Source organism: Homo sapiens, chromosome 5, assembly GCF_000001405.40.
Source record: "Homo sapiens chromosome 5, GRCh38.p14 Primary Assembly".
NCBI classification, from domain to species: domain Eukaryota; kingdom Metazoa; phylum Chordata; class Mammalia; order Primates; family Hominidae; genus Homo; species Homo sapiens.
In genome coordinates this window covers 50,740,900-50,754,718 of record NC_000005.10, presented here as the reverse complement: position 1 = coordinate 50,754,718, position 13,819 = coordinate 50,740,900, and the positions used below count along the sequence as shown (strand labels likewise).

Here is a 13,819-nt window from a genome sequence, read left to right as displayed (position 1 = left end):
GACCCAGCCATCCCATTACTGGGTATATACCCAAAGGATTATAAATCATGCTGCTATAAAGACACATGCATACGTACGTTTATTGCAGCACTATTCACAATAGCAAAGACTTGGAACCAACCCAAATGTCCATCAATGATAGACTGGATTAAGAAAATGTGGCACATATACACCATGGAATACCATGCAGCCATAAAAAATGATGAGTTCATGTCCTTTGTAGGGACATGGATGAAGCTGGAAACCATCATTCTCAGCAAACTATCGCAAGGACAAAAAACCAAACACCACATGTTCTCACTCATAGGTGGGAATTGAACAATGAGAACACATGGGCACAGGAAAGGGAACATCACACACTGGGGCCTGTTGTGGGGTGGGAGGCTGGGGGGAGGGATAGCATTAGGAGATATACCTAATGTAAATGATGAGTTAATGGGTGCAGCACACCAACATGGCACATGTATACATATGTAACAAACCTGCACGTTGTGCACATGTACCCTAGAACTTAAAGTATAATAAAATATATATATATGTGTGTGTGTGTGTGTGTGTGTGTGTGTGTATATATATATATATATATATATATATATATATATGAATGTTTTCAAACTCAAATTCCTTCACTGGAATTCTCCATCTTGACTTCTAAGCTCTTTTTTTTTTTTCTGAAAACCTCTGGGGACAGTTAGATTTTTAATGTGTATGTTTTATAGAGGACCTACAGATCTTTGTTAAGGCTGTTAACAGCAAGATATTTTCTCTTCACTTCTCTAACACTATGCAAAGCATTACCAGAACTTTCATGAACACTTGAGACTTGGGGAGAGATGAATAGAACTGTGCAAAAGTATTTCTTAAACTGTTGCTTTTATTCTGCTCCAAATACAGCACCATTTAAGTCAAGTCATTCCATCCCTCACTGATGTAACTTAAGATAAATAATAATTATAACTCTAAAAAAATTATATTGATTTCATGTTACATTCTGGATATTTTTGCTGAATTTTCTACATAATTTCACCTCATCCCCTATAGCAGTCAATTATTATCCCTATTTTAAATACTAGGAAACTAAGGCTCAGAGAAATTAAATACTATTAATTAACTAACTATACACTAGTAAGTGGTAAAACTTGAATCTGCCTGAATCCAAAAATCAATGATTTGTCACTATACCATGTCCTTTTTCAAATATGGAAAGTATTGTCACTAAAAAGTTGCAATGTCTTATAAAATATAAATGTTTATTAGGTATAAAAACAATTATATTTTTGGGGCTATAATTTGATATAGACTGTATAGTATTCTAATTCTCACTTAAGAGGTTTATTCACAGGCTATACCTAATGCTCAAGTATATCATGTAGGTCAAGACTCTTTAGACTCACAGGTGCCAGAGGATCCAGAAAGTATCCCTTCATTCCTCTACTAGGGATAAGAGAGTCCACTCCCAACAGTAGGTAAGCCTTTCTAATTAAAAGTGGAAAGAGAAAATTAAAGAACTCTGCCATTATAGTAGAGCCAACCTGTGACTTGTAATATACACAACTATTGTGTAATTCATTCTCTGACATTAAAAAAAAAACTGTCTTCAAAATAAAATCTACAAAGAAGTACAAGTAAATCACAAGGCCTCTCTATTTCTTCACTTAATCATGAACAGTCAACATATCATTTAGTATTTCATTTATATACATGCTATTATATATGCTGACTCAACAAAGGCCCTCTAAATTTTCATTTCACTAAAAGTATGAAATAAATTTCAATAGATGGTACAAGTTAATTAATAGATCACAATTATAAAAGGACAAATCTGTTCCTAGGGACATAAGCTAGAATGATGTAATCTTGACTTTGGAGGATAATACTGATATATTTTCATAGAGCAAAGAAAATTTCATATGTTCAAACTTAGATGATTACTTAATAACTGATCCAAATAATCCAGGAAAAGTAGGCAGAGGGGAAGCCTAAGGTATATTATTAGAAAGAATTCATAAATGTAGTATCAAGATTACTGCATTTAGAAATTGAATGCAACATTAAAGAGAGCTATTTGTTTGAAAGAATCTTTTAAATGGCTAAACTATTTGGAAGACAAACCAACGGACGGAAGAACAAGAACAAATATGAACAATAAAAATGGGCCAGGAGAAATAACCAGAGACATGGAAGAATTTTACAATTACGGACCAAATACTATACTTTTGCTAAAAAGTTTGGACATTTCACCAACATAGAAACTTTCAGTAAGAAGACATATTTTAAAATGACTAAGAAACAGAAAAACAGAAGAGATAATAATCATGGCAGAAAAATAAGACAACTGACCCAGAACCATCCCTAAAAAGCTCAGACAGATTTGTTTGCAAGTTCTAGCAAATGCTCAAAGAGTTGTTTAATTCATTCAGCAACTTAAGGTCTTTAATGCTAAAGTATATGACAAAACACATAATTCTCATAGCTCAACATTGAGTTATTTGCTAATACAATTTGTTACTTTATTGTTTAAAGGAAAAAGTAGATATGACACCTCAACAGATGCCAAACAATAGTTTGATAAAGATTTAATATTCATTTTTTTTAAAAAAAAGCTTGGTAAATGAGAAAAAGAGTAATTTCCTTTCTGAAAACAACTGGAAGCATGCTCACTAATTTTGAAAAAAGGGACAAAGCTGCCAACTTTCATATCTATTATTAAAAATTATTCCAGTGCCAACAAGAACAGGTATAAATGTTGGAAAGGAAGAACAAACACGTAAGTTATAAAACAAGATGTCTACCTAAAAAGTCAAGCATATTAACCAACAACTCTTAGTACAAATAAATGTGGATTAAAATTTAATAATGGGGAAAACATTATCATATTAATTTCACTGTGAAGAAAGCTCCATAAAAATACTAACACTACTTCCCCAGAGGCAACGGGAATCAGAACTGAATTACAGACTTGATTTTATCACCAAACTACATGTTTTGGGAAAATGTTATTTAATACTTACCATCTCTCAGCACACTTCTCTAAGTATGAATTTATATTATAAACTGCCCTGTTCTGCCTTTCCTACAGACCGGCATTGAGAATCAAATGAAATTATGTATGTGCAAATACTTGGTATACTGCGCACTGGACAGTGTATTTTGATATACTGGTTACATCAGCCAACTGAAAATTCTGCCCCGGTATTTAAACCAGAATGCACTAATCTCCGTCTTCTGTGATCATATTTTATTGCAGCATAACAACCTACTTTCACCAAACAGATTAAATATATATACTTACACTCCTTCCTTTTGGAAATTAAGTTATATTGAAAATTCATTGCAAACTTGCTCCAGTTAGAGAATTCAGTAAAAAGAGCACAAATGATAATCAATACTTTTTTTAGAATTTCAATGTTTGTATATTGGCATTTCCAGGTGGGGCTCCCGTAAAGTGTGAAAAAGCCCAAGTAATACCTCTTGGCCACAAGAGGGAGCTAAACACTTGGCCCACTTGGTTTACTAAAGGCATCTTCTACCATACATCCTGTGCTACAGATTAATTCACTTAGTGTCTTCAACCTGGGCTTTAATTTGTACTATTATTTCTATTACCTTGACTTAAAGTCCTGTACTTCTCATGGCTGACATCTCTATGATCTGACTCAGATGAGAAGCACATTAATTTTTGTATTTACAATAAATAGTGGGGCTTTTATTTCATAACATACTTGGCAAACATAGCATCAAAAACATGCTACACTATCAGACAGGGCTGACTGCATAACCATCTATAAAAAGTATTTTTCTTATAAATACTTCTTGTATTGGTTCTTCCAGTAAAATTTCTCTAGAACACTTTTTGTATTACTATTAAAAATAGGCATAGCCTTAATGAATAACTTCATTGTATAACTGTACAATAGTTTTATAGAATACTATTCTTAAAACATATGGAGAGCATAGCAAAATAATTGTAAGGAAGTTTGTGATTTAAGAAAGTATTTTCAAATGTAACGATCTTATAAAATGGTTAAATGCTTAATGCAAACTGCCGCAGAAAATACTTAAATGCTAAACAAGTAAGTTTTACATTATCTCCATACCAAACTATGAACTAATTACTATTTTTTAATACTAAAAAGAAAAAATAGATACACACACACACTTAGAAAACTGACTGAAACAAATAAATGTTACCTATTATTTTTACATTATGAAAGGCCAAATGATGTTCAAAACTAACAATTAGACCATTGATCTCTTTATTTTAATTGTAATGATGTAAATGCACAGGCTGGAACTATCATAGGGATCTTTAAAGAACTTTTCATTGGGAAATTATTTTGATTCTGCACTGTGTCTCAGAGTAAGACATGTACTTTGCAGGCAGTAAGCAGAATTCTTCTATAGCTTTAAGGCTTCCTCTACCAGTGTTTCACCCCTCAATATATTTATATGCGTTTTACATCTCCAGAAGAAAAAAATATTCAAAGGAACCCTGATACGAATATCTGTAATAAAACAAGAAAAGCATACCTGGGTAATCTTCAGATACATGTACTGAGTAGGATACACTGTTAAAACAAACAAACAAAAAAGGCTCAAGTTATTGCTAAGGTAGACAGGCTTTTATAAAAAAAAGACAAACCAAACCCATGTTACCCATTCAGTTATAAAGATGTAAGTATAAACAGGAAACTTCCAAAACAGATTAGAAAACCACTTTTATATCCGCCATAAGAAACACAGGTTTTTAAAATATACTTTCCATTAGTCTAAATGGGTCTTAGTCTAACAGTTTTGAAATATCTTTCTCCCAACAGGGATATTTCTTTTAGTATAGACAGGTCTTTTATTTCAACAAGGTCTATTTTTCCTATTATATGATCATTTGTTTTCTTTGCTCAGATTTCATCAAATCATCTTTTCTTACCAAAAAAGTATTTCTCTTATTTAGTACAGCACCCAAGAATTTAAACATTTTAATAGTTTCCCCAAAATATGAAGTACTTTTGATAATGTTGGTTTTTTTCTAAAAGAATTAACAAAATATAATGGAAGTATAAGTAATATTATCAATCTTTCATCATGCACGCACACACACGTATATATAAATAAACTTTATTCTATTTTCATAAGGATTGAGTTGTTTCAAAATAATTTTTAAATTATATTTTAACAATTGCACAACTCACTTCTCAGTAACCCTGCTGCCTCTATGTACTTACCTCATATGACATACGAAAATTGAACATATTTATCTGTTCATTTTTTATCTCTGTCAACTAGATAGCAAGCCCCATGAGGTTAAGATCTACGTCTATTTATATTTGCAGTGTCATCATTTACTTTGGTGCATGACACACAGCACATGTTTAACATTAGCTATCTGACTGCATCAGTGAAGCTGCCACCTGCCACAGAAAAGTCAAATTTTAGTTTGTGTTCAGCCAATTATCTGCCTGTTAAGACAAAAAAAACTAATTCTCTTTAAAGGAACATATAGAAGACAGAATCTACTCAAAGCATCATTCACAGGGTGAATCCAATATAATCAGAAATCACTTAATATATGTACAAACAGAAAAATGTAACCTATTTTCAAGAGAAAAGAAGATCCAAGTGTTGGGATTAGCCCACCATAATGTTAAAACAGTTATCATAAGTATACTTAAGGATGTAAAGGAAAAACCAATCTGAAGAAGACAGAAACAAACAAAAACAGACTATCAGTGACTTATGGGGCACTAGCAAAAGAGCAAACATTTGTATATTAGAGTTTTAGAAGGCTGAAGAAAGAAAGAATAATGCAGAAAATATCAAGAAGAGCTAAAAATTTCCCAATTTGAGTGAAAGACAAAGATGTGTTGAATAAAGAAGCTCAGAAAATCTGAAACAGGAAAGCACAAAGCAAATTACACCTAGGTACATGCAGTCAAACTGCTGAAAACCAAATGTAAGGAAACATTCTAAAAGAAGTCAGAGAAAAATAAAACGACATATTACACACAAGGAAACAGTGATAAGAACCAATGTTGACTTTTGGGGAGGGGAGGAGACAACTGTTCAGCCAGAATTCTCTATTCAGCCCATATATTATATATACAGATCCACCAAAAACAAAGGAAAAATAAAACAACTTTCAGATAAAAGAAAATTGTGAAAATTGGTCCCCAGCAGACCTGCAGTATAAGAAGTCTTAAACAAAGCTCTTCTGGATGAATAATACCAGACGGAAAGTCAAAAGAATGAAAAGCACCGAAAACTGTAAATATAAAACACTATTTTTTTAATGCTTTAAAAATACATTCGACTGTTAAAAAGTAAAATTATAGCACTTCACACACATATGATTACAGCGTTGTAACAGGGAGGGGTAGGATGGTCTTAAACAGTTGCAAGGTCCTTGCATATTATGTAAAATGAAGTTGCAAAATCCTTACATATGATGTAAAATGATATATTAACCCTAAATAATAACTATCAGAAAAGGAAATATCCCTATAGCATGTACACACACACACACACACAAACTGCTTAAAAAGCTAATAGATAAATTACACAATAATTCTAAAAATCATTTTGGATCATTTAATCCAAAAGAAAGCAGGAAAGGAGGAACAAAAAACAGAAGGAACAAATAGAAAACAAAAAGTAAATAGAGCCTGAATCTAATCATATCAATAACTTCATTGAATGTTAATGGAACAAGACACACTGAATAAAAGGAAAAGATTACCAGAATGGATAAAAAAGCAAGGTCTATACTAAAAATACAAAAAAAATTAGCCGGGCGCGGTGGCAGGCGCCTGTAGTCCCAGCTATTCGGGAGGCTGGGGCAGGAGAATGGCGTGAACCCGGGAGGCGGAGCTTGAAGTGAGCCGAGATCGCGCCACTGCACTCTAGCCTGGGCGACAGAGCGAGACTCCGTCTCAAAAAAAAAAAAAAAAAAAAAAAAAAAAAGCAAGGTCTATCCTATCTTTGAGAGATCCATATTAAATATAGAGACACATATAGATTTAAGTAAAGAATGGAAAAGATACACCATGCAAACAATAAGCATCAGAAGACTGAGGACTAAAGATATAAAGAGATCATTCGTAATGATAAACGTGTCAGTTCGTCAGGAAGAAGTCATACCAATCATAAATGTGTATGTACCTAATAACAAAGCCTCATAATATATGAAGCAAAACCTGACAGAAATAGAGGAAAAATGAACAACTCAACAATCATAATTTGAGTAATTAATGGAACCAGACCAAAAAGAAAAAAAAATTAAAAACACAGAATATTTGAAACTGATTTTCATAGAACACTACAACTGCAGAATATCAAGATAGATCATATACTGAGCTATAACACAAATCTCAATAAATTTGAATGAATGGATGAACATGAGTCAGCATAGCTTATACCCTGGGTTCCCTGGCTCATCTTGCCCTTATGACATTTGAGTCTTAAGTCCTTGAAAAGAGTTCCCAACTCCACCAGTCAAATCCCTGGCATGCTGCTCAGTACTTGGAAAGAGATTAGGAAGAGACAAAAAAAAAAAAAAAAACAAAACAAACAAACAAAAAAAACCATAACTGAATAAGTAGATGAGTAGAAAAGAAGTATGATTAGTAAACAGACCAAGTTTGATACATTTTTATTTCATAAAGCAAATTTTTTCCATTTAAAAAAAATTTTTTTTAGAGATGAGGTCTTGCTCTGTTGCCCAGGCTGGAGTACAATGGCATAATCATAGCTCACTGTAACCTCAAACTCCTGGGGTCAAGCAACTGCCCCCTGCAGCCTCCTGGGTAGATTGGACTACAGATTTGCACCACCACATACAGCTAATTTATTTTATTTTTGATAGAGACAGGGGTCTTGTTATATTGCCCAGGCTGATCTCAAACATCTGGCCTCAAGTGATCTTCCTGCCTCAGCCTTCTAAAGCACTGGGATTAAAACCATTAATCCCAGTTTTAATTCAAGGAACACTTTTTGGTAACCTGGTATGAGCCAAACATTGTGTTAATGCCAAATAAGATTTAAACAGAAAAAAATATATATATCAGAGGTAACACCTTTGGATGGTTAATTTAGAGGGAACCAGAGAATATGATACATAAATATGACAGACAAAGGAACTTGAACATTTTAAAGCACAGTAGTATTTTTTTTTACTTTTTATATAATATAGACTCACATAAAGTTGAAAAGACTGTACAAAAGTGTCATGTATATTACCCAGTTTCCTCCATTGCTTACATGTTATGTACCTACAGTAGAATATCAAATCCTGGAAACTGACATTAGTGCAAAGTTTGAGTATAGTTCTATGTTACTTTATCACATGTGCATCACATACCCATTATAGCAAACAAAATACAGAACTATTTGATCACACAAAAATTTCCCTTGTGCTACCTTTTTTAGAGACATATCCATCTCCCTTCACCCAAGCATCCTTAAGCCCAACAGCCACTAATCAGTTCCCTAGCTCTAAATTTTTTATCATTTCAAGAATAATACATAAATGGAATCAGAGATTATGAAGCATAACAGTATTTCCAGGCAGATTAGTATTTTGAACAATATACTCTGATAGCTAATATTTAGGATAGATTGAAGAAAAGAGAGATCAGATTAAGAAGCTATCATAGTAGTAAAATATGAGCACATATCAGTGAAAAGGTATGTATTGGGAATAAGAATGCAGGAACAAATGGCAGATGTTGGACCTCAGCCAATAGAGCAGCTTTGGAAATCATGGCCCTGAATCAACATGCCAAACATTAGAAGATAAAATATCCATGACAATGGTGCCCCAAAACAAGCTGGGGGGAAATGTACACTATGACCCCATATGAATTCATTTTCCCGTGATCCATTCCTTTATACTGTCGAATGGTACTATGTAGAAATAAAACTGATGATCAAGGCACCCTTCTGATCTGGCAGTGCTATGTGACAGAAGCTTGGCAATGCCAGAGATTATACTCAGTACTAAGCTGAATTAATTCCCAACAGCCTACCATCTCAACCAATGGCAATTGCTTCATTTTTCATCTAAATCAATGTCTGAATCCAAAATGAGGCCTTAATTCATTCCTTTGTCTACCTCCAGTTAGAGGGCCTGTTGTAGTTCAAGACAGACAAATAGGAGTCCAATGCAGCTTTGAGGCTTACTAGCTGGGAGGCATAAGAAAAGTTGGTTAAACACTCACAGACTCAATCTCTATTTAGTAAAATGGAAGAATCCATACCTACCTTAAGAGCCTGCTGTGATGATTTAATGGCTTAACAGGTGCAAGGACCCCAGGACAATGCCAGACACATAACAGCAGGTGCTGAGTAATTTTAGTCAGCTTCCAATACAAGCAATTAAAATTTATAGGAGTGAAATTTACATGAATGAATGTTCTCTGGAAAACTCAATTTGCTAAAAAGTACAATATATTACATTTATCTGAGACCCAAACCAACACTGATTATTTTATTTTATGGTCGTATTGTCCTCATGATATTAGGAGACATTCCCATGTTCGTGAACGTACCTAATTTTTCAAATAGAAAATAGCAAACAGAAATCCTGCAAAATGATTCATCAGCCCCTTGTGCGACAGCATTTTCTCAGTGGTATACCAGAAGGAAAATCACCAGGACTGTAAAATCCTAATCAGTTTCACTTTGTGACTTGCAGAGTTCTAAGGGAAACAATCTAGTACAAACAGACATGGATGATTGGCTCAAGGATCTAATGAGTAGTACCAAAAAAACGTGGAAAGAACAAAGCTTAAGTAGATTGCAGAGTACTGTTAGTATGTGCTGTACATAATAAATGCCATGTAGCAGGCAGAAAATATTGTCAAGAAGCATAAGTGAAAGTGAAAGAAGGTGGACATGAGAAGAAAGCAAAATCTAGAGCAAGTTCTGAATTCCTTTTAAAAGTCATACTCATCTTTTGTCCTCACATCCCTGGAGCAAGCTCTGAATTCCTATTCAGAGAAAAAAAAAAGCCTTCAGAATTTTGGGATATGCTGACTTACAATTAATTACATTGAGGTGCTTTGCCAGAAACTCAGGTCAGTCAAATATGTGTTTGGTATATATTATATGAACAGTGTGATGCATGGTTCTTAAAGTCACAACTTTGAAACCAGAATCTAAAAATTATTTTATTGCACCTCAATAATTTTCTAACAAAATGGTTACTTTCACCTCTTTTTCCTCTGAAAGCATCTGGCCCAACCAAAGACATCTCCCAATAGCCAACAACTTCTAAAGGAGTTCCCAAAGCAGCTGTCAGTTGCTCCATATCTACCTAATCCTGTATTCTGTTCATATATTTGTTTACTCCTATAACTGGAACCATTTAATAAGGTCATTCTTGTATCTACACTTCCCAATCACTCCATTACCATCCTTTTCCTTCTGAAATGTCTGCAATGAGCTAAGAACAGATAGAGTCTGGTCTGAACTCCCAAGTTCATGGATCTAAGGAGAGTCTTTCAAAAGTAGTGGAAGATGGTAGCTCTATGTAATAAAGATTGGAATTTAGGCTTGAAGATGAAAGAATCTTAGACTTAAAAGAGTTTTTCGATGCACCAATTCATTATCTGATTTTACAAGCAGGGCCCATAACTGCCATCTGTAACGTCAAACTCCTGGATCCTCAGTTCATGCTTTTTCAACAACACCCAGAGGTTTTGACAGAACAAGTAAAAACCAGTATTTTATTGCACATTACCTTTTTACTTACCTGCTAATATTTAAAACAATTTCTCCAATAAACTACATCCTCGTATCTTTTATCCCTCCCAGTTAGATCCCACTTTAAGAATTTAAATAAGAAAAAGCAAAAGGCAGAAACAAAAAATTGCACATGACAAACAATCCTCTACCCTAGCGAAGATGCTTAGGAGTACAGATCTCAATTTTATTTAATCAATTAATTTTTAATTTTATTTATTTATTTATTTATTTATGTTTTGGAGACAAGGTTTCACTTTGTCACCTAGGCTGGAATGCAATGGCCTCAAGCCTCCCAAACCTCTGGGATTACAGATTTGAGCCATCGTGCCTGGTTAGGTCTCAGTCTTTGTTCACTTGCAAGTCAGCAGTTGAAACCTGAGACCACATCTCACCCCCAGACACACTGGAGCTTTCTAGAAGAAAATTCACTCCAGCACTTATTAATTCTGTCTTCTTTACTCTTCAAGTGCTGCAGAGTGAAAGAGATGCTGTCCCACTACCCACCTCCAGACCCAACTCTAGTGTCTCAAGCTAGAAGGTAATTTGGGGCATACTAGAAGCTCACCTTTGCTACTTTAATGCCATTCAGTTCCCAAAACATTCACTTTCATGTTCATCATCATTTCACCCTCTAAAAACATTTTCAAATTGTGCAGGTCAATCAGCTACAGCATCCTCATTCTTCACCACTATGAGCTACAATCTTTTTGTCATTTATCCAGGGTTGGGGAGCTCTAGGACCTTCTTTTCCTCTTTACCAAAAATCTTGACATCACTCCCATCCATTTGGACAACGTTAAGCTGCACGTAGTTCCATGGCCTCGTTTTCCCTACCACTAGCTCACCAAATCTCCAAATGGCTATACCTTGAAGCTTGATTTGGAGTGAATGGCTCCCCTTCTAAAATCTCAAACCCCCATGTCCCACTTTCTAACCACAATTTTATAATTTTCCCAGCTCTCACTCCTTTCCTCTTACTTCTAACATCCTTAAACAATGCATTCACTCTGTGTCTTTACCAGTCCCTCTGAGCTTCATTTTCATCTTCCCATGATTTTAGATACCTAACTGCTCTCTCCACAGCATCTTCGACTCCTTCAATGTGCAGCGCCTACCTTGCCCCTGCAGACTACCTGATCCTACCAGCTCCAAACTGCAGATTAGGTCATATTTGCCATGCTCAGCTCCTGGACCTGGGCTCTGAATGCTGCTGGAAAGGACAATGAAACTAAGGGGCCTGGTGCCCTACAGACATGTGGTTCTCAATATTATCTATTAACAACTCTGCTCAGTAACCTGAGAAACCCATTCTTCATAAACCCCCTTACTTTTTCTTCCTAGTTGTTTTTGCAAATTTTCACAGCTTTCCAAACACCGTATAACAACCTACCCTTTCACTCTCATCAAAATGCTTTCTTTCCACATTAAGAGAGATTATCATATGGTTACTTCCTCAAGGCATTCCCTTTATTCTGTCTCCCACCAACCACCTACAAGCTCATACTCCTCTCCTTGTACCCAGGAAGAAGGAATTATCTGTCCTTGTAATCTAAGATTAATCCATCTACTTGCTGCACAGAACTCATAAACCCACACTCCATTTGGGGCTTTGTTCTATTAATTTAATCTAACAATTTCACAATTTGAAATCTATCAAACATATGTAACTATGTGAGTGGGGAAAAAAACTAGCCACAAAGATATTAATGGTAGCATTATTTAAAATAAACAAATGTATTTGTTTTTAAGCCAAACTGCCAAAAATAGGATTATATGAACTACTGCACACAATATCTGCCCCCTCCCTTATTCGGAACCACTCAACATGAAGACAAGAACACTAAGTTCTCCTTCTAGAAAATAAAATGCGGCCAGGGGCGGTGGCTCACGCCTGTAATCCCGGTACTTTGGGAGGCCAAAGCGGGCGGATCACCTGAGTTCAAGAGTTCGAGACCAGCCTGGCCAATATGGCAAAACCCTGTCTCTACTAAAAACAGAAAAAATTAGCCAGGCGTGGTTGTGTGCACCTGTAATGCCAGCTAGTAGAAGGCTGAGGCAGGAGAATCACTTGAACCTGGGAGGCGGAGGTTGCAGTGAGCTGAGATCGCGCTATTGCACCCGGCCTGGGCAACAAGAATGAAATTCTACCTAAAAAAAAAAAAAAGAAGAAAAGAAAAGAAAACACATCTTTCTCACCTATGAAATAAATTACGTATTACCCTTTACTAAGGTAAAAGGATGAAGACTCTTGCCCAACAAACATTAAGTTAGTTTCTCAATAATATATTTTCCTATTTTCAAAACTTATTTTGGTAATTTTTTAAGTTATACTTTCAGCACGTGAAGTAACAGGATCAAAAGTAATGTTTTTGTTTGTTTGATTTTTAGGGAAGTGGCCAAGTCAGCAACTTCTACGCTTAAATATTACACTGTAAGTTAAATGTCTGGACTTCTAAGTAAGCTATTTTCTCAACAGGGAGGAACCTGAGAGAACTAAGTCTGACATTGATTAGTAACATTGATGCAAGCTTTATAATGGTATTTTTAAAAGCAAGTGAGAAAATGGTTTTTTTACACTACCTTAGTTCCATGCAAAAGACAACAACATATTTAAATAAAGCTGTGCTTCTCTCTTTTTCTTTACTCATGACTACAAATAAAAGGACAACAATACAATTCCAATAAAATATGAATAGTAGATAGAGCATGTCATCAAACACTAACACCTCGATTAAATTAATTATATAAATATTATTTCCATATTGCATCCCGAAAGTTTAATATCTGAGCTTTTCTTTACTGAACACTTTGTAACTATAACTAATTCAGTATTCTTTTGATAAATATTCACTAACATGTAGATGTTTTTACCTTCACTGTTTTATATCTAAGTTCAAGTTTTAAGTGGTCATAAAAAGTTTAAAGAGGCTATAAATGATCTGCACAGCATACCAAGACGGAAAAACTAAATACGACTGAATAACTCTATAGCTCAATTAAGGCTTTGTCATGGAAAGGGAACAAACACTACAAATATTTAGAAAGAACTTCGATAGTATGATACAACCCTCAGCATCTT

At 34.7% G+C, this 13,819-nt stretch overlaps 1 protein-coding gene across 14 annotated transcripts in view; it reads right to left on the bottom strand.

Annotated features, from left to right (window-relative positions):
* PARP8 (poly(ADP-ribose) polymerase family member 8) overlaps positions 1 to 13,819 on the bottom strand; it is a 180,589-nt gene that overhangs the window by 91,801 nt on the left and 74,969 nt on the right. For 11 of the 14 annotated variants that reach the window (NM_001178055.2, XM_047417705.1, XM_011543631.4 and 8 more), the window contains one exon: positions 4,531 to 4,568. In NM_001178055.2, the coding sequence (NP_001171526.1) occupies positions 4,531 to 4,568 (38 nt within the window). Of the gene's footprint in view, positions 1 to 4,530; positions 4,569 to 9,542; positions 9,984 to 13,819 lie in introns of all 14 variants that reach the window. The other 3 variants (XM_011543634.3, XM_011543643.3, XM_047417707.1) reach the window with 1 other exon arrangement.